Source organism: Homo sapiens, chromosome 22 (assembly GCF_000001405.40).
Source record: "Homo sapiens chromosome 22, GRCh38.p14 Primary Assembly".
Classification (NCBI taxonomy): Eukaryota; Metazoa; Chordata; class Mammalia; order Primates; family Hominidae; genus Homo; species Homo sapiens.
In genome coordinates, this window is record NC_000022.11 from 38,909,968 (window position 1) to 38,932,701 (window position 22,734).

Below are 22,734 nucleotides of genomic sequence, written 5' to 3' on the forward strand. Positions count from 1 at the left end.
TTAACAGTGTCCTTTGACACACAAAATTTTTGAATTTTGATGAAGCCCCTTTAATCTATTTTTCTTTGATCGTGCATGCTTTTGGTGTCATAGTTAAGAAACGATTGTCAAGGCCATGCATGGTGGTTCACGCCTGTAATCCCAGCACTTTGGGAGGCCAAGGCAGGTGGATCACTTGAGGCCAGGAGGTCGAGACCAGCCTGGCCAACATGGCGAAACCCCTTCTCTACTAAAAATACAAAAATTAGCCGGGCGTGGTGGCAGGTGCCTGTAATTCCAGGTACTTGGGAGGCTGAGGCGGGAGAATCACTTGAACCAGGGAGGTAGAGGTTGCAGTGAGCCGAGATTGCGCCACTGCACTCAGCCTGGGCGACAGAGTGAGACTCCGCCTCAAACAAACAAACAAACAAACAAACAAAAAGAAATGATTGCCGAATCCTAGGTCATGAACGTATACACCTATGTTTTCTTCTGAGAAGGTTTTACACCTTTAGCTCTTATCCAATCCTATCTCTTTACCATTCTTCTCCCATTGTTTCTTTATCATCTTTTTTATTAAATCAACTTATCTTTACTTTCCTTCACATCATCTCAAATCAAAACTTCCAGAAACTTGCTTGCTGCTTCCCAGCTTTTCACAGTAGCTTGATTCCAACACCATGGGTTTGTTTCCAAGTAGTCTTCTCCCCACACCCCATATCCTTGTTCCTTATTTTCAGTTCATGTAAGCGCAATGACACAGTGACAAGCTCACACTGCCTTGCCAGCATCCACACTGGGCTCCTGCAAAAATGATCTTTATGGTCACTTGCTGTGTCCGATGATGTGAACCAACCTAGGCCAATTTGGCCAAGCCAACTCCTAGCTTTGTTTTGGTAGATGTTGTTTAACTGTTAAAAGTTTGAGGTCGATAAGGAGGTGTGTCTATGTATGTAGCAGAATCTGGAGTGGGGGAAGCAAGTAGCACCTCCTTTTCCACCTCAGGACACTCTCAGACAAAAACTGAGTTTAACACCAAAAGACTCTCGTTTTAGAACTAAAACATGCTTATCACAGTGACTGCGATCACTTTGAAACACTTCATCATAGATAGTGTGTCCCAGTGGTCGGCTGGCATCATATTAGAGGTGGATTTCAGAGGAAGGGACCACTTTTGCTATCATATCTAGAACAATACCTCAGGCTTGCTAAGAAGTAAATTTAATGTCAGAAATGAGTTTTCACTGATGAAATTAACAACTTGTTAATTAGTATGATGACTCTTAACGAAAAGCTCTAATGGTTAAATTAAAGATATTAATTTCCAAATTTGGATATTTTAAGGGATTTTTTAGTTACTGAGTTCTAGTTTAATTACATTTTAATAAGAGTATATACTCTGTATGATTTCAATCCTTTTACATTTATTGAGACATCTTATGCCCCAGTGTATGTCTAAACTTGGTAATGTTCCATGTACATTTAAAAAAAGGTATATTTTACAGTTTTTTGATGTAGTGTCCTACAAACGTCATTTAGATTAAGCTGGTTGATAGTGTTGTTTAAATCTACCACATCTTTATTGATTTTTTTTATCCATTTGTTCTATCAATTACTGAAAATGGAGTATTAAAATCTCCAACTCTAATTGTGTTTTTTCTGTTTTCCTTTTAGCTTTATCAGCATTTGTGGAATGCAGATAAAGCAATTCTTAGAGAAAAATTTATAGCTTTAAATGCTGTTATTAGAAAAGGAAAGAGGTTTGAAATCAGCCATCTGTGGTTTCATTTTGATTATATAGAAAAAGAAGAGCAAATTAAACCTAAAATATGCAGGAGGAAGGAAATAATAAAGATAAGAGTGGAAATGAAATAAATAGAAAGCAGATAGGCAACAGGCCGGGCCGGTGGCTCACGCCTGTAATCCCAGCACTTTGGGAGGCCGAGGCGGGTGGATCACGAGGTCAGGAGATCCAGACCATCCTGGCTAGCATGGTGAAACCCCGTCTCTACTAAAAATACAAAAAAAAATTAGCCGGGCGTAGTGGCGGGTGCCTGTAGTCCCAGCTACTCGGGAGGCTGAGGCAGGAGAATGACTTGAACCCGGGAGGCGGAGCTTGCAGTGAGCCGAGATCACGCCACTGCACTCCAGCCTGGGTGACGGAGCGAGACTCCGTCTCAAAAAAAAGAAAGCAGATAGGCAATAGAGAAAGACCTACAAAGCCAAAAATTGCTTCTTTAAAGTGAGTAATAAAACTTCTGGCTCAAAATATAATATTGAAAAACAATGACATGTAATTCAAGAAGGAGTAAATCAGTGGTAAAGTATTCTAAGGTCTTGAAATTTTCAGAAGGGGGTAGAATAATATATTAATTTTAAAATTTGTTATATATACATGCAGAGCCTCAAAGATTATCCCTAAAAAGAAAAGAAATGGAGCATGTAAATTCAAAACAGTATAGGAAATAGGAAATACAAATAGGAATAGGGAAAACAAATAAAAGAAGCCCAATTAGTAAAACAAAAAACAAAAAACCAAGAAAGAAAAACAAAGAAGCATGAAAAAAATGCAAAAAAGAATAAGATGATAGAGGTGCGTTAAAAAATAACAATAATCACAGAGGTGTATGGACTAAACCCACCAGTTAGAGGACAGAGATTTTCAAAATGGATTACCTCTCCCCCATCCAACTTTCTAAGAGATGTATTAAAAGTCAAAGAACGGCCGGGAGCGGTGGCTCACGCCTGTAATCCCAGCACTTTGGGAGGCCGAGGCGGGCAGATCACGAGGTCAGGAGATCGAGACTATCTTGGCTAACATGGTGAAACCCCGTCTCTACTAAAAATACAAAAAATTAGCCTGGCGAGGTGGCGGGTGCCTGTAGTCCCAGCTACTCGGGAGGCTGAGGCAGGAGAATGGCGTGAACCCGGGAGGCGGAGCTTGCAGTGAGCCGAGATCGCGGGACTGCACTCCAGCCGGGGAGATAGCGAGACTCCGTCTCAACAAAAAAAAAAAAAAAAAAAAAAAAAAGTCAAAGAACACAGAAAGCTTGAAAATAAAAAGATTTTTTAAGTGCCAAGAAAGCAAGTTTATGATATCAACATCAGATAAAAATATTCTTTTTTTTTTTTTTTTTGAGACAGAGTCTCGCTCTGTCGCCCAGGCTGGAGTGCAGTGGCACAATCTCGGTTTACCGCAAGCTCCGCCTCCCAGGTTCACGCCATTCTCCTGCCTCAGCTTCCCGAGTAGCTGGGACTACAGGCACCCGCCACCACACCCAGCTAATTTTTTGTATTTTTAGTAGAGACGGGGTTTCACCGTGTTAGCCAGGATGGTCTCGATCTCCTGACCTCATGATCCGCCCGCCTCTGCCTCCCAAAGTGCTGGGATTACAGGTGTGAGCCACTGCACCCGGCCCAGATAAAAATATTCTTTAAAGAAAAGTCATTACTAAGGATAGAGAGGGTATGTACATAAAGATAAAGTATTTTAATTCACCAAGATGATAAACTAATTTAAAACTTGTACATATCTTATAGCCTTAAAATGAATAAAGCAAGAATCAACAGAAAAAAGAAAAGAAACCCAAGAAGAACTTGACAAATCCACCACCATTATGGAAGATTCTAACATATTTCTATCATTGGTAGATCATGCAGAAAAAAGAACCTGTAAGAGTGTAAAAGATTTGAACAGTACTGCTAACCAGCTTGATTGAATGCTCATTTATAGAATGTTTTGCATAAGAATTAGATAATACACATTCATTTCAAACTCTTGTGGAACATTTGTGAAAAATGACCATGTATTATGCCATAATCAAGTCTCAATAAAGACCAAAGATTGAAATTATACAGATCACCTTCTGTGATTATATTGCATAAATTATAAATCAACAACAAAAAATAAATTATTAATACATTTGGAAATGAAAATGTTCACTTTTTATACAGTCCATTAGTCAAAGACAAAATTCTAATGGAAATTAGAAAAATGTTAAACTGAAAGATGATGACAATATCACATATTAAAACTTCTCACATGCAATTAAAATAGTACTTAGAGAAAAATTGATAGCCTTAATTTCATACACTGGAAAACAAGGGAGACTAAAAATTAATGAGCGAACCATCTATCTGAAGAAGTTAGGGATAAAACTGCAGCAGAACAAACTCAAAGAAAGAGAAGGAAGCTAATTACTATTGTCTGAATGTTTGCATCTCCCCCCAGAACCACATGTTGAAATCCTAACCCCCGGTGAGTTGGTATCAGGAGATGGGGCACTTGGAGGTGAGTAGGTCGTGAGGGTGGGGCCCTCATGAATGGGATTAGTGCCTCTTATAACAAGAGGCACAAAAGAGATTATCTGTGTCTGCCATGAGAGGGCATAGCCAGGAGGCACCCTCTATGAACCTGAAAGTGAGCCCTCATCAGACACTGAATCTGTTAGAGTCTTTATCTTGGACCTCCCAGCCTCTGGAACAGTGAGAAATAAATTTCTGTGTTTATAAGCTATCCAGTCTATGGTATTTTATTATAACAACCTGAACAGACTAAGACAGAAATAATAAAGGGTAGGCCAGGTGTAGTGGCTCACACCTGCAATCCCAGCACTTTGAGAGGCCGAGGTGGGTGGATCGCTTGAGCTCAGGAGTTGGAGACCAGCCTGGTCAACATGGCAAAATACCATCTCTACTAAAAACACAAAAATTAGTTGGGTGTGGTGGCATGTGCCTGTAGTCCCAGCTACTCAGGAGGCTGAGGTGGGAGGAGTGCTCAAGCACGGGAGGTCGAGGCTACAGTGAGCCATGAACGCACTGCTGCACTATAGCCTAGGTGACAGAGTGAGATCCGGTCTCAAAAAAAAAAAAAAAAAAAAAAAAGAGAGAGAGAGAGACAATAGCTTAGTAAGTGGCATAATCCACCTTTCTGGCTTCTCAGCATTTGTATACACAAATCTGACTTTCAAATAAGAGGATAGGCTGGGCGCGGTGGCTAACGCCTGTAATCCCAGCACTTTAGGAAGTTGACACGGGCAGATCACTTGAGGCCAGGAGTCTGAGACCAGCCTGACCAACATGGCAAAACCCTGTCTCTACCAAAATACAAAAATTATCTGGGCATGATGGCACACACCTGTAATCCTAGCTACTGGGGTGGCTGAGTCAGGAGAATCGCTTGAACCCAGGAGGCAGAGGTTGCAGTGAGCCGAGATTGTGCCACTGCACTTTAGCCTGGGCAACAGACAGAGACTCCGTCTCCAGAAAAAAAAAAGACAACTCTATGTTTACACTTAACAGGTTGCAACTATCCTTCATGCAAATGAAGACATTCTCAGTCTTTCCCCAAAATGGGGAGATGCAAAGATTCCAACAGCATTGTATCCATCTCCGGACAATGTTAATAACCCCTCAAATCCAGTCACAGTGCCGGCTGAATATTCCGTTATCTAAATACTGAATTGGAAAGTTAACTTCCAAGAAAACTTATCAAAAAATAAATAATAGGAAGGGAGAGAAAGAAGGAAAAAAAGTGGTTAACATATACAAACACATACACACACACAAACACAGCAAACGAAGAAAGAAAGGTACACAACTGCTACAGTCCTTGTTTCTGTAATAGGCCATGTGGCTGAAGTTGACATTCCAATTCTGTCTTCCACTCTTCCTTGTACATATCTTTTGCTCTCAACTGGCTAGGCCTCTTTGCCTGATGGAGTGACCTAAATCTTCATCCTGAGGTGTCTGGATCCTTAGTGGTCCTGCCTTTTTTGACTGTCATGTTTTTTCACTTATTTTTATGGTTGGACATGGAAGTCCTAAGGGGCATCCTAGAGCATCCTTGGGGGTTCAGATGTGGTCCTCCCTACCTCCACTGTGTGGCAGCAACCCAATTTCTCCTTGTAATAGGGATCAGTCGCCCCAGGCAGTAGAGTAACCCCTTTCTTCTCTCGGTTCAGTGGCATGAAGATTCCCAATGGCCAGCAGCAGTCCCAACATCCAATTCAATGGAGCTGCAGTTGTGTCCTCTGGTGGCAGGATTCCTCTCTTGGGAGCCATGACCATGACCTCCAAACCTGCAGAGCTCAGAGCTGTGGAGATGGGAAGAAAGATTCTGCACACAGGTTATTAGGTGTGCAGTGAGAGGAGCCACTCCCATGTCTATCTGGAATTCCATATTCTGGTGATAGGAGAGAAAGCACCACATACTAATTTCTGATCCAAAGCATAAACTGCATCCTGTTGATAGAAGTCAAATCCTTTCAAGTTCTTCTTTCACCCTGGACGATTCTCTCTTGAGAGATCATTTATCATACCAGAAATCTGGTATGGTAAAGCAGATTTTGGAGGCAAAGACAGGGAGGTGAGGCCTGAGGCTTGAGACAGAAAGAAAAGAGGACCGTAGAGAGAAGGCACACAGAGGGGCCCAGACTTTGTGTTGTTCATGTCCTTGAGTAAGGGGTTAGGAGGGATAAGAAGAGTCAATAGAGGAGTTCTTATAAGAAGAACAGAATTGCCACATGCATTGCTATAAAAACAGAGTCTCAAGGAGAGAGGGTCAGCACTTCCAGGCACCACAGGTTAGCCGGCAGAGAAGGATGAGCATGGCTCTGGGCATCCCTTGCTAGGGCACCCATTCTCTGTGAACTCTTGTGCCTGAATCTCATTGACTGGCTTTCGAGGCTTAAAGCAGAAAAGCACCGTGTAACTTGGCTTAGGAATTGCTCTTAGACAAATCTATAGATCCTGGTCTCTTAACATCTGCTTTCCCCGGAAGCCAGCAGTGGGAGCTCCCCTTTCTCCACTGATGGGTCCAAATGGAAGCGTTCCTGGGTATTTTTGGTTCTCAGCCCCATCTTCCAGCCTGGAGGGGAGGGTTGTAACAGTTCACAACATGAGCACTGGTGAAAATCCAGTTACTCCAGCAGCAAGAGCACAACCTATGAGAGGCAGGGGGGTTCTGCCCTCAGACTGGCTCTTGCATAGGGAGAGAAGACCTTGTGCTGATAGGACTCACCTGTTTGGCACAGGAGGCACCCATCAGCGCTGTTCATGGTCCTGAACTACAGCTGCTGGTCTCTCTTTTTTTGTTTTTGTTTTTTTTTGAGATGGAGCCTTGCTCTGTTGCCCAGGCTGGAGTGCAGTGGTGTGATCTTGACTCACTGCAACCTCCGCCTCCGGGTTCAAACGATTCTCCTGCCTCAGCCTCCCAAGTAGCTGGGATTACAGGCGCCCACCACCATGCCCAGCTAATTTTTGTATTTTTAGGAGAGATGAGGTTTCACCATGTTGGCCAGGCTGGTCTCGAACTCCTGACTTCAGGTGATCCACCTGCCAAAGTGCTGGGATTACAGGTTGAGACACCGCACCCGGCCCAGCTGCTGGTCTCTATTGCATTCTCCTTCCACTTTCCATAGAGTCAGTGGTGACTTCAGTCCAGCCTCTCCCAAGAATTGGGAATCAAGTTAGCAAGGACGTGAGAGGAGAGGGGAACATGGCTGGAATCCTTTGGAGAATAATGCTGCTGAGACATTTGCAGGGAGAAGAAAATGGGACTTTTTCTTTTGGTCATCTTTGACAAAGTTTTACAATTACCAAGACCTCTGAGAAGCTGGGAAGCGCATGACACCACTATACCACATCCCTCTGCTGGCAAGTTCATAGAAGGGGATGGAGACCTAGGACTGTGAATTCCAGGAGTGCAGGGTCCATATTGGACTCCCTTATCCCTTGTCAGTGTACAAGGCAGGCATTCAATAAGTGTTGGTTGAACTGATAAGATGTTGGGTGTAAGAGACTAAGTACAGGAATACCTCAGAGATACGGTGGGTTTGGTTCCAGGCCATCACGATAAAGTGAATATTGCAATAAAGCAAGGCACACAAATTTTATTGTTTCCGAGTACATATAAAAGTTATGTTTACTCTATACTGTAGCCTATTAAGTGTGCAATCGCATTATTCTAAAAAAGTACATACCTTAAAAATATTTTATTGCTAAAAAGGCTAATGATCATCTGAACCTTCAGTGAGTTGTAATCTTATTGCTGGTGGAGGGTCTTGCTTTGATGTTGATGGCTGCCAACAGATCAGGGTGGTGGTTGCTGAAGGCTGGGGTGGTGGTGGCAATTTCTTAAAATAAGACAACAATGGGCTGGGTGTGGTGGCTCATGGCTGTAATCCCAGCCCTTTTGGAGGCCAAGGTGAGTGGATCACCTGAGGTCAGGAGTTTGAGACTGGGCTGGTCAACATGGTGAAACCTCATCTCTACCAAAAATACAAAAATTAGCTCAGCGTGGTGGCAAGCACCTGTAATCCCAGCTACTTGGGAGGCTGCGGCAGGAGAATCATTTGAATCTTGGAGGTGGAGACTGCAGTGAGCCAACTGCACCAGTGAGCCAACGCCACTGCACTCCAGCCTGGGCGACAAGAGTGAAACTCTGTCTCAATAAATAAATAAATAAATAAGACAACGATGAAGTTTGCCACATTGATTGACTCTTCCTTTCATGAAAGATTCTCTGTAGCATGTGATGCTGTTTTATAGCATTTTACCCACAGTAGCACTCCTTTCAAAATTGGTGTCAATTCTCTCAAACCTGCTTTATCAACTAAATTTCTATAATATTTAAAATGCTTTGTTGTTATTTCAACATGTTCACAGCATCTTCACCAGGAGTACATTCCATTTCAAGAAACCACTTTCTTTGCTCATCTATAAGAAGCAGCTCATCATTCACTCAAGTTTGATCATGAGATTGCAGCAATGCAGTCACATTTATAGGCTTCACTTCTACTTCTAGTTCTCTAGCTATTTCCACCACATCTGCAGTTCTTTCTTTTACTGAAGTCTTCAACTCCTCAAAGTCATCCACAAAGGTTGGACTCAACTCCTTTCAAACTCCTGGTAGATTGATATGTTCATAATGGCACCTAGAATGATAAATGCTTTTCAGTAGGTTTCAATTTACTTTGCCCAGATCCAGACTTGAAAGCTGAAAGGACTCCTTGGTCCATGGGCTGCAGAATGGACATTGTGTTAGCAGGCAGGAAAGCAACATTCATCTCCTTGTGCATCTCCAGCAGAGCTCTTGGGTGACCAGGTGCATTGTCAATGAGCAGTAATATTTTGAAAAGAATATTTGAAAAGAATATTTTTTTCCGAGCAGTATATATCAACAGTGGGCTTAAAATATCCAGCAAACCACGCTGTAAACAGATGTGCAGTCATCTAAGCTAGAGCACTGGCAGAGTAGATTTAGCATCATTCTTAAGGACCCTAGGATTTTCAGAATGGTAAATGAGCATTGACTTCAACTTAAAGTCACCAGCTGCACTAGCCCCTAGCAAGATAGTCAGCCTGTCCTTTGAAGCTTCAAAGCCAGGCATTGCCTTCCCCTCTCTAGCTATGAAAGTTCTAGATGGCATCTTCTTTCAATAGAAGGTTATTTCATCTACATGGAAAACCTGTTGTTCACTATGGCCACCTTAATCAATGATCTTAGCCAGATCTTCTGGACAACTTGCAGCTGCTCCATCAGCACTTGCTGCTTCACCTTGCACTTTTATGTTATGGAGACAGTTTCTTTCCTTAAATCTCACGAACCAACCTCTGCTAGCTTCAGACTTTTCTTCCGCAACTTCCTCACCTCTCTCAGCCTTCATAGAATTGAAGAGAGCTAGGGCCTTGCTCTGGATTAGGCTTTCGCTTAGGAGAATGTCATGGCTGGTTTGATCTTCTATCCAGACCCCTCAAACTTTCTCCATATCAGCAGTAAGCCTGTTTCACTTTCTTATCATTCATGTACTCATTGGAGTGGCACTTTTAATTTCCTTCAAAGGCTTTTCCTTTGCATTCACAACTTGGCTAACTGCATAGTGGAAGAGGCCTAGCTTTCAGCCTATCTTGTTTCTTGACATTCCTTCCTCATTAAGCCTAATCATTTCTAGCTTTTGATTGAAAGCAAGAGATATGTGACAGTTCCTTTCACTTGAACACTGAGAGGCCATTGTAGGGTTATTAATTGGCCTAAATTCAATATTGTTACATCTCAGAGAATAGGGAGGCCAGGGCAGAGGGAGAGAGATGGGGAACAGCTGTTGGTGGAGCAGTCAGAACACACACAACATTTATCAACTAAGTTTGCTGTCTTATGTGGGTGTGGTTTGTGATGCCTGAAAACAATTACAGTGGTAACATCAAAGACACTGATCACAGATCCCTGTAACAGATATAATAATAATGAAAAAGTCTGAAATATTGTGGGAATTTACCGATGTGACACAGAGACCTGAAAGTGAGTACCTACTGTTGGGAAAATCATGCCAATACACTTGCTCGATGCAGGGTTGCCAAAAACCTTCCATGTGTAAAAAAAAACACAGCATCTGTGACTCAGTAAAGTGAATCCCAATTAAATGAGGTGCATCTGCACTCAGGATAAGTTATGCTTTCATCCCTCCTCTAAGGAGAGCAAAAGGGCTCAAATTTGAGGTCCAAGTATGTGTCAGGCATTTGATATTAGGGTCTTTCACTTAATTCTCATAGGAGATTTATCACAAATTTCCCAATCAAGATTCAGCCTCATAGAAGTGAGCCTCCTGAGTGAGACTCTGTGGCTCCTAAGTGGGGAATCTAGGGCTCGAACCCAGGTCTTGCTGATCCCATGTTTTTCTCACCATCACTGGATACTTCCTTCTTATGCAAGGAGAGAAATGCAAATTCTACAAAAGAAAAATGGGCTTGTGGTCTAGACAAGCATCTTGGTTAATGTCTGAGGGTCATGTTAAAAGCTTAGAAAGTTAGTTTTGTCTGCTGGGCATGGTGGCTCATGCCTGTAATCCCACTACCTTGGGAGGCCGAGGCGGGCGGATCACCTGAGGTCAAGAGTTCGAGACCAGTCTGGCCAACATGGTGAAACCCTGGCTCTACTAAAAATACAAAATTAGGTGGGCATGGTGTCATGTGCTTGTAATCCCAGCTACTCAGGAGGCTGAGGCAAGAGAATCGCTTGAACCCAGGAGGCAGAGGTTGCAGTGAGCTGAGATTGCACCATTGCACTCCAGCCTGGGCAAAAAGAGCGAAATTCAAAAAAAAAAAATTGGTTTTGTGATGGCAGCTGTTGCTAATCAGGGTATGGAGTCAGGAGCTTAGGTCTAGGGTTGAGCTCAGATCTCGACATGGACCAGGCTTTTCCCCTGTCTCAGTGCCTCATTTATGGTTCAGTTTCAGGCAGCAAAACTAATGAATGATTTCCAACCACAGAAGCCGTCACTGGGAGAGCCAATAAAGATACGACAGATCTGGCAGGAGAACAAGATCCAGCCCAGGTGATGGGGTGTGAGGCTTGGTCTTAGCTACAGGTAGGTCGTTTCCCTTAGCTCCTGGATGACTCAGCTTGGCAGCCACCCAGACTTCTATCAGGACCCAGAGGTGCTGCCAGCTCTGGAGCCATGTCAGGCCAGCTTTCTCCCCATGTCACCAGGGAATGGAGATTTTTCTGGTCTGCTGGGGCTTTTCCTAATTCTGCACGGTCGGCTTGAGACTGTCCACCTGTTGCTCCATCTAGGCTGCGTTGCCCTTATGAGCCGTCTTCACAAGGTACGTTTGGAGGATGTCAGGATGTCTTTCAAAGGATTTGTAGACATGCTTTAAAGTACTTACGGAGTCAATGTCCCCTTTGCTTCAAGCTTCTCTCCTACTGTAGGAAATAATGTCTACGGTGGCCCATTTCCAAGGCAAAGTGCCTCAAATAGGCTTGGGCCCACAACCTGCGGATGGACAGGATATACTAGACCCCTGCTGGTCAGGGCCCCCTTAGTTACCCCCACCCAAAGCAAAGCGTTTAGTCTAGAATGAAAGTTTACTAGCCTGAAAAATAGCTCACTTTATCTATTCTTATCAGCTTGCCTGGCCACCTGGGTCATAAGTCAAATACTTGAAGAGCACCTTAGCTGACTATGATTGCAGTGCATTATGGGCCACAACAAACTGCAGCGAGACAACCCTAAAGTAAACACCTAAAAGCCCCAACCCAACGACCAATAGGTGATGTCTGGGAAGATGGTGACCCCATGGTACTCAGCCTATGAGGAACCGGGGGAGGGACTTGCCTACTAGGGGATACATTGCTTGTTGTAACTGTACTGGGTGTGCCTGCCTACCAGACACCAGATCTTGCAAGACTGTCATTAAAAGTCTCACTTCTGGCTGGGCGCAGTGGCTCATGCCTGTAATCCCAGACTTTGGGAGGCCAAGGCAGGCAGATCCCCTGAAGTCGGGAGTTCAAGACCAGCCTGACTAACATGGAGAAACCCCCATCTCTACTAAAAAAAAACAAAAACAAAGAAAAAACCTACAAAATTAGCTGGGCATGGTGGTGCATGCCTGTAATCCCAGCTACTCGGGAGGCTAAGGCAGGAGAATCACTTGAACCCAGGAGGCGGAGGTTGCGGTGAGCCGAGATGGAACCATTGCACTCCAGCCTGAGTGACAAGAGTGAAACTCTGTCACAAAACAAAACAAAAACAAAACAACAACAACAACACAAGTCTCACCTCTGCAATTCTCTATGTCTCTAAGTTCATCCTTTGGGTTTGGACAGGTGAGCATGTTTCTCATATTACCCACACTGGTGGGCCCCGTAGGCTTCCTGGTTGGTCCAGGAGTGGATGCCTGATGCAGGCTGCACAAATCAGATTCTCTCTTCTGGAGATTTAGAATCGAGAACCAGTGGTTATCATAGGTTAGCCTTGGCTGTCAGACCTGGAAGGTGAGGAGACCCAGAGCTGAGGGTGCCCTTTTGGGACAGGTGTCAAATCCTTGTACAAACAGAGAAACCAGACTGACAAGGGGGTAGGATGAAGGAGCTGAAGGAGAAGCAGAGCCACAGAGGACCGGGCAGAGAGAGGGGCTGCCTTGGTGGGGACAGCCTGTAGACAGCGCCAACGACGTGGGGCTGGTGCTGTCCCCACTGTGGTCTCAAACACCAGACTAGTGCCCGGTCAGCACAGAGTTCAGGACAGTGGTGCAGCTGACACCCAGAAAGACACCGCAGTGGAAAGCCTGGCCTGACGCTCCCAGCTCTCTCCCTGCCATGCACTGACTCCATGTCCTGTGAGGAGGAGGTGGGAGGAGAGTTTTATTAGGGGAATTCATTTGTAATAATTGCCTAAGTATTTGCTACTTAGGAGAACATGGATCTGCAAAGGGTCCATGACCCTTTGAGTCAGAGTTTCACTCTTGTTGCCCAGGCTGGAGTGCAATGGCGTGATCTCGGCTCACTGCAACCTCCGCCTCCCAGGTTCAAGTGATTCTCATGCCTCAGCCTCCCAAGTAGCTGGGACTACAGGGGCACACCACCATGCAAGGCTAATTTTTGTATTTTAGTAGAGACGGGGTTTCACCATGTCGGCCAGGCTGGTCTCAAATTCCTGACCTCAAGTGATCCGCCTGTCTCGGCCTCCCAAAGTGCTGGGATTACAGGCATGAGCCACCACAGCTGGCCTGCAAGGGGTATTTTTAGGTGTTAGAAGCATCTCGAGGCATCCTTTCTCAACGTTTCACACCACAGACCACTGAATGGGCATTTGGCACATTCATAGATCATCAATTGTAATTCAAAAAAAAGTAGAGTTTCATCAATGATTTTAAATTTAAAGAGAGTGTTTGAAACATTAATTATGTTCTCATATCCATGAGATCTTCATTTCTTTCTTCCTCTCTCTCCCTCCCTTCCTCCTTCCTCTCCTCCCTCCTCCTTTCTTCCCTCCCTCCCTTCTCTCCTTCCCTTCCTCTCCTCCCTCCTCCTTTCTTCCCTCCCTCCCTTCTCTCCTTCCCTTCCTCTGCTCCCTCCTCCTTTCTTCCCTCCCTCCTTTCTCTCCTTCCCTTCCTCTGCTCCCTCCTCCTTTCTTCCCTCACTCCCTTCTCTCCTTTTTGCTGCTGCTTTGCTGTTTGCTGCCATCAGGGCAGGGGTGGAGCAGTAAGTGGGTTCCACCCCCAGCCACACCGTGATTGGCTCAGGAGTGGACACGTGCCCTGAGCCAGTCTAATCCATGCTAACCTCAGGACCTTCCTGGGAATTGTGGGAGACAGAGACTCTCTGTTGGTCCAGATAGGTGGGGCGTACTGTGGGCTTGGCGCTGCTGTAACAATTTTTCTACCACAGGAGACGCTGGTCTGAAAAGAAGGCAACGCAAGGAAGAGAACAGAGCCAAGGCACCTGCAGCGAGCCAGAGCCAGAGCCCTGACATCACAAATGCTTTAATTGGTTCCATTTATTGTTTAATCCACTTGAAATTGAATTTCTGTCATCCCCGACTGGAAGTGTACTGACCTGCATACTACCTGTGTTTCCTCACAGCAGGCTGAAAAGCTGTGCCAATATTGAGCTCATCCAGAATTAGACGAAGTTTGTATTCTTTTTATTACTTCCTTTAACCCTGAATCAGGGTCCAGAAGCATTTTGTTGACCATTAACTCTTCTCTGTGAATAAAGCAGCATGAGGAACAACCTCTTTTATTCACAGAGCAAAGCTCTTCGCTGCTCAGCCACAGCGGCTTCAACTCTGGCACGGGTCCTGAAGTGCCATTTCTAGCACATGACTCACAAAGTAAATAATCTGTAAATGAAAAGCCTCTTATCATACTTTGGCACGAAAAACAAAGCGACAAGCCAGGCAGCATTTTTCCCTCATATTTGAACCCCACATGCACCAAGGGCTGTTTTATGCCTTGCACATGAGGAGTTTGGTTTGCTCAAAAGCAAAGTATTGGCTAACATGTGTGTGCACTAGTAATTGCATTTCTGCTTTGTGTGCTCTGTTATCTGATAGAGGAGCTTTGTCAATATCCTTTGGATCTCTCTCCAAGCACAGTCTTCATTATGATCTGTGAGCTGATTTACGGTCTTCTTGGCAATTTTACGACTGATATCTAGGTGCATTTGCTAAGAGGACAGCAATTTAGAATGATGTTTCTGTAGCTTTAGTCTCCTCCGCACCTTTAATAAGAAGAATAATCAATTTTACATTAGAAAGTTATTTTGTGCTTATTCTGGAAAAATGGAATTGGTTGCTTTTTCTAAAGATAATGAGAAACACTTTTTATGGCTCCAGACTACTATATATCAGCATTTTCATTTTAACAGTAATATATCGAGGACTAGGGGCAAATGGATTGCTTGTCCAATAAATGAAATGTTCAAGTATTCCTCACTGAACTTAGACTCACAATTTTCATTTATGGTTGCATGTGTAAAATCACCACTCAAGAACTTGTTTGTCCTTGAATATATAGTTTTGTATTTCCATAGTTATATTGCAGAACCATTTACTCATTATGTTTACAGTGCCCTTCTGAGGATTTATGCTGCCATTTTCATCATTACTTTGCATTTTATAGAACCTCTTTTTAGTCATTGATCCATTTTGGTGAATTGGAGATACAGTGTGACATATCTACTACAATAACCATGAAAATTAAAAAATAACAGACATAAACTATAACTTGCAAGCGAGAAGCCCTATGTGAATATGATTTATTAATACTTTGTTTTAAGTCTCTTTCCCCTGGTTCTCACCTATTGAAGCTTTTTGCTTTTCTGTCAGCCAAGAGGTGCCAGGTAGGTAAGGAGCATACTGGGTAACTGTGTACTCCGTGCCCAGGCCTACTCATGCCTCTGTGGGCTGGGCACTGATGCAAACTTCTGCCAGGCATGGCCCTCTTAAGTGGACAGGGGATAGAAAAATAACCTAGAAATGATGACAAATGTGGCTTCTTTCCAATGATCACATCTCTTCCCTTTTCCTTGGCTTACTTATTGGTTCAGACCTTCACAAAGAAGTTGACCAAGTGCAGTGACAGGATGATGTGCTGGTCATCATCCTGTCGCTACACTGAAACATCCCTTTCTCCCTTTTTGGGCCCATGGTGGAGTCAGGCTTTCCCGCATCATTGAGGTTAGGTGTGAACACGTGATTTGCTTTGGCCAATGAAATGGGAGTGAAAGTGACACATCCCTGCCAGGTACAAGCTTTAACGGCCAGGGAACAACGTGCGTCATCACTGCCTTGACCCTGTGGTCAATGTTCCAGACAGGGGTCTGTGTCAGCCTGTGTCCCTTAGTGAGGACTGGGTATAGACTGCCCCTCTCCACTTCATGGATATTTAACTTAAGCAAGAAAAAGGCTTCATGAACTTAGGCCACTGAGATCATGGAGGTTTGTTCCTGTAGCATAACCCAGCCTCTTCTGTCCAAAACAAGTGGGTACACAAATCCAAAAAGGACAGAAATCCCTTTGCCCAGTTCCCTTCCTGAGAGCTGACACTGACTGGCACCCAGCCTCAGCCCCAAGCCCAGGGCCCTCGTTTATAGACACTCATCTGTGTCCAAGTTTTGTTCTTCTAGTTGCCATTCTTCCATTTTCTCTTTGCCAGTAACACACAAAAAATGAGAGATTTTCTCAGTATTGGTATGGATTTTCAATTAACAACAACAAAAACAACAAAATACTCCCAATATAATAATTCTTTTTTTTTTTTTTTGAAACAGGTTTTCGCTCTGGTCACCCAGGCTGGAGTGCAGTGGTGTGAACTCAGCTCACTGCAACCTCTGCCTCCCAGATTCAAGTGATTCTCCTGCCTCAGCCTCCCAAGTAGCTGGGATTACAGATGTGTACCACCACACCTGGCTAATTTTTGTATTTTTAGTAGAGACGGCGTTTCGCCATGTTGGCCAGGCTGGTCTCGAACTCCTGACCTCAGGCGATCTACCTGCCTCGGCCTTCCAAAGCGCTGGGATTACAGGTGTGAGCCACTGCGCCCAGCCTCCCAATAGGAGTGTTTAAAAACACTCATTTTTAAAAACGAGGCCGGGCGTGGTGGCTCACACCTGTAATCCCAGCACTTTGGGAGGCTGAGACGGGCGGATCACCCGAGGTCAGGAGTTCAAGATCAGTCTGGCCAACATGGCGAAACTCTGTCTCTACTAAAAATACAAAAATGAGCCGGGCGTGGTGGCAGGTGCCTGTAATCCCAGCTACTCAGGAGGCTGAGTCAGGAGAATCGCTTGAACCCAGGAGGCAGACGTTGCAGTGAGCCGTGATCACACCACTGCACTCCACTGTGGGCGACAGAGTGAGACTCTGTCTCAAAAATAAATAAATAAATAGAAACTAGAGTGTTGGGTCTAAGGGCGACAGTGGTAATTAAAACACAAAGATCAACGCACTGTTCAAAGATTCCCAGTGCGCGGCGCTGCTAGAGTCGCTGAGTCCTCACAACCCCGGCTCGTGGCGCGAGCCTGGTGCCACCCGGGCGGTGGTGGGAGTGTCGCGGCCCGGGGTGGGTGGGATTCAGGCTGCCGGGGGCGGGGGGGGGGGTTGCCGCAGAGGGGGCTGGGGAGGGCGGCACCCCCCCATTGCCCGTCCTGGGCCCTGCGTCCCCTGGCGGGCTGCGGCCAGAGCAGATGGCAGCACCGGCGCTGGAGGTGGCAGATCCCCGGGGAATGAGCAGCGGGATAGATCACTGGCTGCAGGGCAGGGGGCGCTGTGAGTCGCCCTGGCCGAGCTGTCGGAGAGGAGATTACTTAGCAGCTGGTAGTGAAAGGAGACGCCTGGGCAGATTGGAGCAGAACGGAGACTCAAAGCCGGGACTGGGGTGCCTGTTCTCACAGTCACTGACCCCCACCTGTTCGAAGACTGGCAAGATTCTGTGAATATGGGGGAGGAAGAGCCAATGATTCCCAGCAGAAGACGCAAGATTCTCCAGTGTCATAAACTGGATAGTATATGCAGAGTATGTGGAAAATGCTAGCTGGGTTGTTCCCCAAGCAATGCAAACACCATCGTCCCTTCCCTCCAAACCATGCCTTGTTTGTACCAAGGACTGCACAGAACTTGGAGTGTCACCGAGTGACAGAAAAAGGACCCAACACGGCGCAACCGCTCAGCCCGAGAGGCGGGTGTATTGTCGTCAACCAACATCTGAATGACGCTTGCAAACTGAATTTGCCGTGCAGGGTTTCCAACAGCAGGCATGTTTTCCAGATGCTTTGAAATCCTCTTTTAAAAAAGTGAATAAGAGGCCAGGCGCAGTGGCTCACACCTGTAATCCCAGCACTTTGGGAGGCCGAGGCGGGCAGATCACGAGGTCAGGAGTTCGAGACCTGTTTGACCAACATGGTGAAACCCTGTCTCTACTAAAAACACAAAAATTAGCCAGGTGTAGTGGCCCGCGCCTGTAATTCCAGCTACTCAAGGGGCTGAGGTAGAAGAATTGCTTGAACCTGGGAGGCAGAGGTTGCAGTGAGCCGAGATCATACCACTGCACTCCAGCCTGTGTGACAGAGTGAGATTCTGTCTCAAAATAAAATAAAATAAAAAAGTATACAAGGCTGGCTGAAGTGGCTCATGCCTGTAATCCCAGCCCATTGGGAGGCCGAGATGGGTGGATCACCTGAGGTCAGGAGTTCGAGACCAGCCTGGCCAACATGAGGAAACCCTGTCGCTACTGAAAATACAAACGATTAGCCAGGTGTGGTCGTGGCACCTGTAATTCCAGCTACTTGGGAGGCTGAGGCAGGAGAATTGCTTGAACCCAGGAGGGAGAGGTTGCAGTGAGCTGAGATCGTGCCACTGCACTCCAGCCTGGGCAACAAGAGCTAAACTCCATCTCAAAAAAAAAAGTAAAAAAAAGTACAATATTTTAATAAGCCAAAAGCCACCTTTTTTTTTTTTTTTTTTTTTTTTTTTTGAGACAGAGTCTTGCTCTGTCGCTGAGTCTGGAGAGCAATGGCATGATCTCGGCTCACTGCAACCTCCGTCTCCCGGGTACAAGCAGTTCTCCTGCCTCAGCCTCCCAAGTAGCTTGGATTACAGGCACCTGCCATCATGCCTGGCTAATTTTTGTATTTTTGTAGAGACGGGGTTTCGGCATGTTGGCCAGGCTGGTCTTGAACTCTTGACCTCAGGTGATCCATCCACCTTGGCCTTCCAAAGTGCTGGGATTACAGGCATGAGCCACCGCACCCAGCCACCACCTTCTTTTTTATACATCTTAACTGTGCCTCTCTTCCTTGTATTTTGTGGGTGTCATTTGTCTTTTCACAGCATTCAAATGTTTCTGTCTATTTGACATCAGTCTGTGGTTTATTTGTAGCCTTAAAAGTCAGATCTGGCCAGGCGTGGTGGCTTATGCCTGTAATCCCAGCACTTTGGGAGGCTCAGGCAGGCAGATCATGAGGTCAGAAGATCGAGACCATCCTAGCCAACATGGTGAAATCCCGTCTCTACTAAAAATACAAAAATTAGCTGGGCATGGTGGCACATGCCTGTAATCCCAACTACTCAGGAGGCTGAGGCAGGAGAATTGCTTGAACCGGGGAGTTGGAGACCTGGCAACAGAGTGAGACTCCGTCTCAAAAAAAAAAAAAAAAAAAAATCAGATCCACTTACTCTGAGATATTTTCCCCCATAACTTGTTTTTTCTTTCACAGTGCTGATGTGTTCAACAACATCTGAATAGTGGGAATTGGTGAAAAAGATCATTCTTGGACCCAAAGAAATTTTACATCCATTCCAAAACTTGTTTTATATAATTATAATTTTAATTTATAAATTTTAGATTTGGGCTAGTTTTGTATTGTCCAATAATTATTTTGACAAACGATTTACTTTGCTTTCTCAGGAATTTGTCAACTCATTTGTCTCATTTTTTTCTTTAAAAGTTTTTTTTTTAATTAAAGACTTTTTTTCAAAAGCAGTTTTAGGTTCACAGAAAAATTTGAAGATGCAGAGATTTCCCATATGTTCCCTGCCCCACACATGCAGAGCAGCAGTTTTTAATTTTAATCAAGTCCAGCTCATCAATTATTCCTTTCGTGGGTCAGGCCTTTGGTTATTGTATTTACAAAGTCATTGTCATAACCAAACTCATTTAGGTTTCTTCCTATGTTATCTTTGAGGAGTTTTATACTTTTGCATTTTACAATTAGATCTATGATCCTTTTTGAGTTAGTTTTTATAAATGGTGTAAGGTCTGTATCTAGAATCACTTTTTCTTTTCCATATGGATGTCCAGTTGTTCCATCACCATTTATTGGGCCAGGTATGGTGGCTTACACCTGTAATCCCAGCACTTTGGGAGGCCGAGGTGGGCAGATCACCCGAGGTCAGGAGTTCAAGACCAGCCTGGCCAACATGGTGAAACCCTGTCTCTACTAAAAATACAAAAATTATCCAGGCGCGGTGGTGGGTGCCTGTAATTCCAGCTACTGGAGAGGTTAAGGCGGGAGAATTGCTTGAACCTGGGAGGTGGAGTTTGCAGTGAGCCGAGATCGTGCCACTGCACTCCAGCCTGGGCGACAGAGTGAGACCCTGTCTCAAAAAAAAAAAAAAAAGAGGATCTTTGTGTCTTAGTCTATTTGTATTGCTATAAAAGAATTCTCGAGGCAGGGTAATTTATAAAGAAAAGAAGTTTATTTGGCTCATGGTTCTGCAGTCTGCAGGCTATACAGTAAGCATGGTGCCAGCATCTGCATCTGGGGAGGGCCTCAGGCTGCTTCCACTCAGGGTAGAAGGCAAAGGGGAGCAGGTATCACATGGCAAGAGGGGAAGGAAGAGAGAGAGAGGAGGAAGGTGTCAAGCTTTTTTAAACAATCAGCTCTCGAGGAATGAATAGAACAAGAACTCATTCACTACCTCAAGAACAGCAGCAGGTTTTTGAGGAGGGATCTACTCCCATGACCCAAACACCTCGCACTAGGCCCCAACTCCAACATCAGGGATCAAACTTCAACACGAGACTTGGCTTTCAACATGAGACTTGGCAGGAGACCAAGCAAACCATAACATTGTATTCCCTTTGCTTTTTTGTCAAAGATCAGTTGACTGTTTATGTGGGTCTATTTCAGGGCTCTCTATTCTGTTCCATTATCTATTTGTCTATTTCACCAATACCACATGGTCTTGATTACTATAGCTTTTAAATACGTTTTAAGTCAGCTAACTTCAGGCCTCCAACTTTGTTCTTCTCCTTCAGTGTTATGTTGCTATTCTGGGTCTTTGGCCTCTCCATATAAAGTTCAGAATGTTTCTTGATATCCACAAAATAACTTGCTGACATTTTGATTTAGATTGCATGGAATCCATAGATGAAATTGGAAAGAATAGACATCTTGGCAATATCAAGCTTTCCTATCCATAAACATGGAATATCTTTTCTTTTCTTTTTTTTTTTTTTGAGACAGTCTCACTCTATTGCCCAGGCTGGAGTGCAATGGTACCATCTCGGCTCACTGCAACCTCCACCTCTTGGGTTCAGGTGATTCTCCTGCCTCAGCCTCCTGAGTAGCTGGGATTACAGGCACACGCCACCACACCTGGTTAATTTTTATATTTTTAGTGGAGACGGGGTTTTACCATGTTGGTCTGGCTGGTCTCAAACTCCTGACCTTGTGATCCACCCACCTCGGCCTCCCAGCGTGTTGGGATTACAGGCATGAGCCACCGTGACCAGCCATATCTTTTCATTTATTTAGTTTTTTATTTCTTTCATCAGTTTTATGGTTTTCATTATATCTATCTTGTACATATTTTGCTATATTTATATCAAAGTATTTCTTTTTTTTGAGTGCTAATGTAAATGGTATTGTGTTCTTAATTTCAAATTCACCTGCTCATTGCTGGTATAAAGGAAAGCTATTGACTTTTGTATATTAACCTTGTATCTGGCAACCTTTATATAATTGCTTATTAGTTCCAGAAGTTTCTTTTTGACAATTCTTTAAGATTTTCTATGTAGACAAATGCTTTGTGGTATGAATGTTTGGATCCTCTCAAAATTTGTATGTTAGGCCAGGTGCGGCGGCTCATGCCTGTAATCCCAGCACTTTGGGAGGCCGAGGCGGGCGGATCACAAGGTCAGGAGATCGAGACCATCCTGGCTAACATGGTGAAACCTCGTTTCTACTAAAAATACAAAAAAAGTAGCCGGGTGTGGTGGCGGGTGCCTGTAGTCCCAGCTACTTGGGAGGCTGATGCAGGAGAATGGCATGAACCTGGGAGGCAGAGCTTGCAGTGAGCCAAGATTGCACCACTGCACTCCAGGCTGGGCGACAGTGCGAGACTCCATCTCAAAAAAAAAAAAAAAAATATATATATATATATATATATGTGTGTGTGTGTGTGTGTGTGTGTGTTAAAAACTGATAGCCAATGCAATAGTATTAAGAGGTGGGGCTTTTGGAAGGTGATTAGGCTCCACTCTCATAAATGGGATTAGTGCTCTTATAAAAGAGGCCAGAGGGAGCATGCTTGCCCCTTCCACCATCTATGAGGAATGGGCCCTCACCAGATACCAAATCTGCTGGCACCTTGATCTTGGACTTCCCAGTCTCTAGAACTGTGAGCAATACATTTCTATTGTTTATAAATCACTTAGTTTAAGATATTTTGTTATAGCAGCCCCAATGGACGAAGACAATGGTCATGTTATCTGCAGACAAAGACAGCTTTATTTCCTTGCTCCTGATCTGTATACCTTTTATTTCTTTTCCTGTCTTATTGCATTAGTTAGGACTTCCAGTAAGATGTTGAAAAGCAGTGTGAGAGAGGGGGCATCCTTGCTTTGTTCCTGATCTTAGTGGAAAAGCTTCTAGTTTCTCAATTTGCCTCAATTTTCACAGCTGGTATTTTGTCACTGGCTACTGGCTACCTGCTATGACTATTTCCCCTAATAAGTTAAGATTCGTTT

General features: G+C 44.5%; 1 long non-coding RNA gene across 1 annotated transcript in view; it reads left to right on the plus strand.

Annotated features, from left to right (window-relative positions):
- Positions 1-16,492, plus strand: part of LOC105373032 (uncharacterized) — a 40,173-nt gene extending 23,681 nt beyond the window's left edge. Inside the window, exons 2-3 of the long non-coding RNA XR_938256.2 lie at positions 11,209-11,583; positions 14,150-16,492. This is a non-coding gene — a long non-coding RNA (uncharacterized LOC105373032). The remainder of the gene's footprint in view (positions 1-11,208; positions 11,584-14,149) is intronic.
- The last annotated feature ends 6,242 nt before the right edge of the window (positions 16,493-22,734 follow it).